The 9,755-nt window shown below is 33.2% G+C and overlaps 1 long non-coding RNA gene across 2 annotated transcripts in view; it reads right to left on the bottom strand.

Moving 5' to 3' along the window:
- Window positions 1–4,232: 4,232 nt before the first annotated feature.
- The window catches only part of LOC124900623 (uncharacterized), a 49,265-nt gene continuing 43,742 nt past the window's right edge, over window positions 4,233–9,755 (bottom strand). Inside the window, exons 1-2 of one of the 2 annotated variants that reach the window (XR_007058393.1) lie at window positions 5,346–5,588; window positions 4,233–4,288 (exon numbers count right to left, since the gene is read on the bottom strand). This is a non-coding gene — a long non-coding RNA (uncharacterized LOC124900623). Of the gene's footprint in view, window positions 4,289–5,345; window positions 5,589–9,755 lie in introns of those variants that run through there. The other variant, XR_007058392.1, reaches the window with a different exon arrangement.

Genomic DNA, 9,755 nt, shown 5'->3' with positions numbered 1-9,755 from the left:
TGCAAATTTTTAAACAAACTTTTAAATCGTGATGACTATTCTGAAAAGGTTTCAGTACCAACACTAAGATTTGTACATTCAGTTTGTTTGCAATTGACTTGTTAGCCATTTACATAGTGTATAGTACAGATTTAGCACAGGTTAGATCACAGTGTTGAGGAAAGCAGTACCTTCTTATAATTAGAAAGGATCTCCTAAACTGTACTCAGCTTAAGACATCCAATGTACAAGAGCACAAAAACCATTATAATAATGTGGTTCCAAGGAACATAGTTTTGATAAGGAAAGTAACTTAAGCTTCTGTTACCCATTTTAATTACTGAAACCTCTAACAACGACACAACTGTTATGTATACATGACAGCAAATGTATATAATAATTCATTTAGATTTCTTGGAAGGAACACATTTAGCAATCTGGGGTGATGGAAAATATAGCATAATTCAACATTGGTTCTTTTTGTCATTTTACACAGACATCACGTTAATGTTAGACCAAGGCACAAAACGTTTTGTGCATAAACCCAGTCTCTTTTAAGATTTAGCATTTTATTTTAGGCTCTTATCTTAGTATGGACCACTTGTACCCAGTACTCTACCTAATATAGACTATTTAACTTACTATTTTTGTTTTTGTCATTTTCTTTTTGACACGAAGTCTTGTTCTGTCGCCCAGGCTGGAGTGCGGTGGCATGATCTCGGCTCACTGCAACCTCTGCCTCCTGGGTTCGAGCAATTCTTTTGCCTCAGCCTTCCGAGTAGTTGGGATTACAGGCGTGCACCATCACCCCCAGCTAATTTTTGTATTTTTTAGTAGAGTGAGGGTTTTGCCATGTTGGCCAGGCTGGTCTCGAACTCCTGACCTCAAATGATCCGCCCACCTCTGCCTCTCAAAGTGCTGGGATTACAGGCGTGAGCCACTGCGCCTGACTTAAATCAGTTTTAATTGAAGACTTCCAAGAATGAGGGTGCACATATTAGGGAGAAGACCACATGTTCTCCAACTGCATGTATTCCTCGATGAGAAGCAGTGATAATGTACACTTTTCCAAAAGAATGGTGATCAGTGTCAGAAGTGCTCGTGAGCACGTGAGGTTAGGTAGTGCATGATTATTCTGATTTTACAACAAAGAAAACTGGATGAAGCTGAGAAGTGATTTGGGTCTTCCAAAACCTAGTATAGCACTTTCTACCACAGCGTATTCAGTGGTTACTCTATGAGCCTAATTTCAGAGTCTAAAATAATGTTGAAATAAAGGACAGGAAATCAAGAAATTCATCTTTGAGAACAGATAGACTCTGAGACTCATCTTTGTGTCTTAAACTTTTCATTGTTACTTTTCCATTTCTACTGCATGATATTTGTCAGTTTCCCCTAGCTAGATACATCCAATGCTCATACTTTAATTGTTTTTAAAAAAAAAAGAAAGAAAAATACCGCTGGCATGAAGCTAAAACTCATGCCCTAATAACTGAAACACGTTTTGCAGATCTGCCAACTAAGTCTCCTCTCTAATTGTGTGCCTTCTATAAAAAGAGCCAAATTAAAAAAAAGTGCAGTGTAAATATCCTTAGTTATGAATAAGACCATTAACCTCCTTTAGACTTTAGATAGCATGAAAGATCTCAGTAAGAATTACAAAGGAAGTCTTAGCTACTTTTTATCCTTAATTGTGTTGTTTATTTAAATGAAGATTTTTTTTCTAAGTTTGTAAATTATGTAAATTTTCTTTTTAAAAAGTATTGTTATCATCATGCATATGGAACACTACAATGTCTTTTAACATTAGACCCAAAAATAACAGTTACTGATCTAAAAATTATGATTTATCTCCTAACAGGCCATTCATTTATTCACTAAGTTTAGTTATTTAAAATGGTTAATCCTAAGGTTAAGATTTTTTTCTTTAGAAAAACCACCTAGAGTATTCTACAAATTATCTGCCAAGCAGAGCAAATTGGAATTTACAAAAAGCTAACGTCAAAAACATGTTAAATACTTGCACTCAAATGGAGAAAGAAAAAAAAAAAGCCTGCTTTGATTGAGCAAACACCACAATGAAATATCTTATACATTAACACCACTAGAGGGCTTGATACATTTTGCTTCATAAAAGCATTTCTTACACCACGTTATTTTTTGGTATAAATAAAGTTCTATATGCTCATCATTCTAATCATGGTTATTTTTTAAAAAGACACACATTTACATGTGTACATAGATATAAAAAATGTTCGCTTAAGTGATTTTATCAAAGGGAACTTGTATAAAGTGAACACTGTTTTAAGCAAGTTAAATAAACTGGATGGTTTCAAATATCACGTAGTCTTATATTTCATTGAAAAGTATTTCTGCAAATCTGCATTTAACAACATGGTTCTGATAAATGGCCTAAGCCATGTTAGAAGAAAATTATGGTTTAAGTAACACGAAAATTCCCTTCTGTTGCAAGTTACCAATGATATTAATTAAAAATAATTTCACTTCATTTAAAATCATCTCTATGGTAGAGGAATATTTACCTTCACGGAAATTTCTCTATGAATCTAACCTAGATAAATTATATTTAAAAAGACATATTAAATATTATCATCTCTCAATTTCTTTTTAAGTAGGGCAAGTAACACACTTAGTAGGTTTGATTTTTGTTTTGATTGCTAACTTGGCGTTAAGTCAATTTCCTTATTCAGCTATATCGCGAATACGTGTTTTTGTGGGACTATGAAAGAGTAAAAATTATGACTCGGCTAAAGCAAGCACATCTTACAACTTTTTCAGAAAACGTTATTTGTCCATTCAAAATATAAATTAGATCCACCACCTGTTTTGGATGTAGGTAAAATGTTACTACAAATAAAATTTTCAAAATCTGAAGTGGAAAGGGTAAGTTATTGTTACATTCTAGGAAATAAAATAACTCTAGTTTTACAAATGCAAAACAAAATTTTAATTGTTTCCTTCACAGAGACTTTTTTCCAAATTATGTGTTCAGTTGTGGGAGGAAAAGGTAATAGGATATTTTTAAAAGAGCTTTCATTATGTAAGTAATTTCTCTGGTTAACAAGTCCAAGTTAGTAAGATAATAAATAAGTTCATAAGTCAAAATATAAGACATATTTGACATTTGAATCTTTGTACATATATTCATATTTGAACGTGTATTGTGGTGACAGACAACATATGTAGCCATCTGTACAGCACAGGTATAACCAAGCTGAATGCCTTACTGGTGGATTCTGGTTGAGTCTCAGCTAAGAGGTCTACATATGATTTCAAAATCTAAAGAAACTCCAGTTGTCTGGAGGCTTTTCTATTAAATACCTTCTCTGTCTGAATTTCCCCCTGAGGTTGTATGTTTCCTTGCCATTCACAGGATCAAAGACATTGTAACCTAAGAGATATAACAGGCCATCGTTAGTCTAACAGTGAAATGGCTATCAAATTCAACCTCTTCACCAAGGGTAATAGCACTTACCCCTGAATTGCATTAGAGTGCTGCAGAATGTTAAATTGGAAGCCTATTTCTTCGTTTATATGATCAGATGAAGTCCTCAGGCCAGTTTATAAGATTGTTTTTCTCTTTATGAATGCAATGGTTTTGTATGATAAAATTATAGATGCATGATTAAAGAGTACTTGATAACTTCATTAGATACAGATTGAACATTCTATTAATTGAAGTTGGTGCTATAATTTTTGGTACTTCTATAGATTCTAAACCGTCACCAAAATTAAAATAGCCTGGCTTGTAAAAGCTTCTCATTCTGTTATTTTTCAAATCCTGTAACTCGTAACGCATTTCTTATTCATAGTAAGATTATGATTCTTCTCAGCATAGCTTTACAATTAGTTTACTTCCTCATCAGAAAGCTGTCACACTCTCAAGTATATTCTAGCAAAGATCACTTTGATATCATAAATAATTATCATTTTGTCCTTCACTTTTGTTTATATCAAATATTTACTCAATTTAAGGGATTCTATAACCAGAATAATTTTCCCCTTCTGTGTTGCTATCCCTGCCACTTAGTATTTTAGTTTTTATTGTTCTGCCCATTACTGCTACTACACTACATCTACTATTCTTAAATTCTGTGAAAGTGTACAACATACGAGGTTATGCAGCAACAAAAAAATAAACATTCTAAGTTCATTACACAATACTTACAGTGACACACGGCTATTAGCTGTCCTAATGCTTCATCCAGAATAAAGATCACATGAGAGGAATATCCAGAGGTTATTTTTAATCTCCTTTCTCTAGTTTACATGATCACTTCATTCAAGTCTGAAAAATAAAAATTGTATGCATCTTACTATCAAATAAATATGTCCAGTTCTATGTAATCTGTAAAACAACAAGAAAATGCTTGGCATTTCACAGAATACGATGTTTCTAAATACTGAGAGAATAAATGATTAAGAATTTAAAAAATTAAATGTATATATGTAGCAAAGAACCATAGGCCAACAAAAATAGTATTAAAATATGCATTAAGCAGGTGAAATATCACCCCTTTTACTCCCCAAATAAGGTGGGAAATGAATCTCCACACACTCAGAGTCATCTTAATCACATTTATTCTTTTAAGTATATTTAGGATAATAAGAATGATAGGAAATATATATTTTTTTTATTTCCACCAGTTAAGTGACTTTTATGAACCAACCCTGAATATTTGGATGAGTGAATAAATTAATTTTTAGTATACATGCAGCCGTAGAAAAGTCCATTTATCCTTCTATATCCAGTAAGCTATGTATATCCATATTATGTTTTAAAAAGAGAGCATTTATCTAAATATAGTGAGAGATTCATTAAATAAAATTATTAAAAGAAAGTATTAATTTTTCAGTAAGCTGTCCCTGGAGAAGACAAACATCTGAAGGTATCTTTAAATTTGGTGACCTCCCATCTGCAACGGGAAAGGCATGTGTCTTCTTTTTGCCTCTAGTTTAGCTATCGTTTGAACTCAAACCAATGACATCAATGGAAAATACTTCCAGTGGAGTTGGCCTTCCTGGTTCCTGATCCGTATTACACTGTTTTAATAAGAATCTGTTTAATATCTTCTAATAAAATCTACAAAGTTTTAAGATATGGTTGCTTTATTAAAAAACAAAAACAAAACTTTTGAGTAAAAATGCTATAACCCCCTTACTCCCACCTCCCAAAGCCAGAATTTAGTGGATTCATTTCATGTGAGCCCTGAAGATTGTTACAGAGAATAATAGTAGCCGAAGTTACCCAATGTAACCTTTGTAATCTCACTCACTGTGAGAGGAGGATGCAGAAGGAATAAATAACTTGATAAAAACCCGCCTCGAAGAAACAACATCTCTACCTCTCAGTGCAATTACTAGATGTCAGTCAGCAGTAGCATTGAAGGCGCATAACCCACTTCCTTTCTGATTGGTTAGTATGTCCATTCTGATTTTTAATATCACCCTTGCCTCTGGCCCATGACTTTTTATTTCATTCTTGATCATATAATTGTCAGTTCTTGCTGTTCAAGAATTTTAAAAGATAATTATTTATTGATAATAATTGTACATAAAAATTTCAAAGTAAAGAGTTGATTACAGTTTCAATTTCTTTTTTCTTCAGTTATAACTTCAATTTTCCTTTTTGTTTGTTCACTATTTTTTCTCTTCAACGTCCAATAATACATGTAAGTTCTCTTTTGCCTCCCTTTTGAATCTCTCATATCCTTTCTAATGACTTCTATATTTGATCCTTTGATATTTTCCACAGCTGTTACTCTACGTAGGCTTTTGAACAAGTAATTGTTAAGAGGGTTAATGGAAGGGAATGATTGTTGTTTGCCAGTAGGCCTAGATTGCCAATCTTTGCTCCCTATTTGATTCATTCAAGAAATTATTTTTAAGTGACCTGACTTGATTGGCCAATATTTAGCCTGGTTTGCTATTTAATTTTAGTATTTTTTATTTATGAAGTAATATAGATGGCTATAGCTTACTGGAACCCAGTGATATTTTTCTGTGTTAAATTTTCTAAAGTTAATATCCATACTATATTAAGAAATCTGTAATTTGAGGGGAAATAGATTTTTTTCATAGATTTTCACAACTCAAAATCTGTATACCACAATCCAGGAAATCCACAACTAAGAAGGAGGTCAGCATATATTTGCAAGCTGTTGATATTTAGGCATAGTATAGCTCTTGTAATGTTTTCAATGGTATTTAAAATCTCAGAATAGTCAACTAAAACAGCTATGTGTTGGCTTCATTATATTTTGGTAAGCATGTCTAGGAACCAAGCCACCATTAAAAACACAAATAATGGTCAGAAAGGAACACAGCATTCTGACTTCCAGTTTGAGATTCAACACGCAGAGACTCTTGTCCATTTCCCCTTAGCATCCTACTCACTCCTTATCAGAAGTCACTGCTCCCTTGAAAAGTGTTTACCACTGGGGGGAGGGATAGCATTAGGAGATATACCTAATGTTAAATGATGAGTTAATGGGTGCAGCACACCAACATGGCACATATATACATATGTAACAAACCTGCACGTTGTGCACATGTGCCCTAAAACTTAAAGTATAATAAAAAAAAAAAAGAAAAGTGTTTACCTCCCTCTCACACACTTAAATCCACAACAGAAGCGCCTAAATATTTGGCTAAAACAGAAAATAATTTACATGATCATGATAAGAATAACAACAAAATAACAGTAAATAAGATCTATGAATGATGACTCTATGTCAGGTTGACATTTTATGTGGATTTTTTTTCATTTGTATATGAAATAAGTACTGTGATTATCATCTTCACATTGCATATCAGTAAAGTGATGCCAGGAAAAGCTAAGTAATTTTCTCAGGGTCATGCACCTAGCTAGCAACGAGTCAAACCTGTTTCACGACAAGGTTGATCCCATGTTCCTTCTATTAAATCATGTCATTTTGTGACTAAAATATTTGTGATAGAAAATAAAGTTTTTAAATTAACCAAGTAATCAATGTCACAATATATAATACATTACTGGCAATACTTCAATTTTAAAACAATATAATGTAAACATGTGATTTTTTTAAATGATAAGAAAAAATGCTGAACATGGTAAGAACTGAATCTTCTGAAGTATCATAGTCACATTAAATTAAATAATAAGGATATGAATGTCAACATGATAAAATGCTGAATTTCAGAGTTAAGTCACTGTAGAATATATATGGGAAATAAAAAGACAATATTTAGGTGTCTTTCAGAAACCTAAATATAGTTCAGATATATCCTGTGTTTTTTAAGTTTTCACAAATATAAATAATCACATATACCTGATTTTCCAACATTAAGGAAGATTTTAAAAAAATGTAAAAGATGTAAACGTGTCTATACATTGAGTCATTTAAGTTAATACAATATTTAAGTAATAAGATTCAATCCAATCCTGTGTCATTTACATTAAAATAAATGAAATATTGAGTCTCCAATCACAACCCTGCTAACCCATATCAAATAAGTTCATATTTTTGACAGAAAGTGTTTGAAGGCTAACAGATTTATTCTTTCAAAATAAACCAGATATGAAAAGAAAGTAAGGAGGCTGGTGTAGACAGAATTTTAAATAAATTAAATTACAACTTCATCCTATATGCATTGCTTTCACATCAGTGGTTCACATTAAAAAATCTATATAGAATATACTTTAAATGACGATGACAATTTTAATGAGGAAGGGTTCTTTTTTTAGCTTTTTGCTATAGTTTCTTGTTTGTTTGTACATTTGCTCTATAATTCCATGCTAGTTCCTTCAATGACTAAAGAAACTCTTGGCTTTCACAAAACCCAGTATGTGAGTTGATGTAGAGACTTGCTGAAGAACTTCAGGAGAAACATACAAAATATACATCTCCCTGATCTGCAGGGTCAAATCAAGCTAATAGGCTAAGAAATTGAAAGAATGCACAAATTATAACCTCAAGAAGTATGTCATTTCCTCATTAAAAAGTCTTTAAAGTTAATTGTAATTCATGTGAATTTTTCTTTTTTAAAGATCTTCCATGCTGAATGGTAGTTTTAATATCTAAGATTACATCTAATCTTTTTTAGGTCAGCAATTGATAAAACGTTTGTAAATGGGGAAAAAAAACCTTGACATTTACTGTTCAATAATCCAAACAAGGACAAAGAATTTGTCTTCAAAGTATCAGCCTGGAAGGGCACAGCACTTACAAGATGAAGAATGGAGGGGGGAAAGGTCAAATTCACATTGGTCCAAAATGATAAAGTTGTCAAAATGTGGAACTGGTGGGAGGTGAATTATCCTCAAAGAAAATAATTCCTTTAGTTAGAACAGTAATTGTTTTTAAAAGTTACCTAAACATTACTGGCTCATCATTATTTTAAATTGCACAGATAACACCAATATTATATTCTGAATTTCACTAGCTCTTTTTTAAAGGTATGGATCACAGTTGCAAATCTTCCTAACCAATTACTAGAAATATTAATTTTCTTCCATTTTATAATGTAACCATTTTATGTTGTAAACAATCTGCCTTGACTAATTCATGTTTCTGAAATGATGGGAAAGTAATAATAATTAAAATGACATTTATGATTAGAACGTTTATATTTCTAACCCTTTAAAATACAAAAAAAGAACTTTGTCAGGCAATTTTTTATACAAAGATATAAAAGGTGGAAGATATACATTTAAAGATTTTGCAGTCCCGTTGAGAAAGAGATGGGGAGACCCACACACAAAAGAAAAGGCTGTTTTTTCTTAAACCAAGTCAAACTGGGCCTTGCACCTCTACAAAACAGTCATAAAACACTTGGAAAGGTTGAAGTCTTTTCTGCACTGTTCAAGCAGTTGTCCATTCTGAGTCCTCATTGGATGCAAATATTGGTAGCATCTGACCCATTGATCATTGGCTTCTGAATCTATCCCAAAATGGTTTATTTACTTGCCACCTCTTTCCCACCTCGCTTGTCAGTCTCCTTGGCTGGTTCTTCCTCATTTCCAGATCTAAGGCCTTAAATCAGAGTGCCCAAGAGCTCAGTCTTCAACTTACTCTGTCCCCTTTTTACCCTGATGCTTATATCTGCATTGCCCAATATGCTAAAACTCACCACATGTGGTTATCTAAATGTAAATTTAAAAGAATTAGAATTGAATTACATTAAAATATATGGCCATTCAGGCCAAAATCTTGTTTACTCTTGTCTTTTATCTTCTATATCAAAATAATCGGCAATCCATATGGATTCCACATTCAAAATATTTTTACCAAGAATGTACAGTGTTTTTTTAGTCTGGGTGCAGTGGCTCACGCCTGTAATCCCAGCACTTTGGGAGGCTCATGAGGGCGGAACGCCTGAGCTCAGGAGTTCAAGACTAGCCTGGGCAACATGGTGAAACCCCGTCTCTACAAAAACACAAAAATTAGCTGGGCATGGCAGTGAGCGCCTGTGGTCCCGGCTACTCGGGAGGCTGAGGTGGGAGAACTGCTTGAGCCCGGGAGGCGGAGGTTGCAGTGAGCTGAGATCGCACCATTGCACTCCAGCCTGAACGACAGAGGGAAACCCTGTCTCAAACAAACAAACAAACAAACAAACAAACAACAAAAGAATGTCCAGTGTTTTTCAAAAGAAGACAATGTAAAAGCAAGTTGGGAAGGAAAAGAAAATCTGAGACTATAGACAGAAATCAAAATCTGGAAGGAAATTTGTCAATATCTATCAAAGTTACATTTGCATGTACCTTTTGACTCAGC

The sequence above is a fragment of the Homo sapiens genome, chromosome 4, assembly GCF_000001405.40.
Source record: "Homo sapiens chromosome 4, GRCh38.p14 Primary Assembly".
NCBI classification, from domain to species: domain Eukaryota; kingdom Metazoa; phylum Chordata; class Mammalia; order Primates; family Hominidae; genus Homo; species Homo sapiens.
Note: the sequence above shows the minus strand (reverse complement) of the source record. Positions and strands in the feature narration are given on the sequence as shown.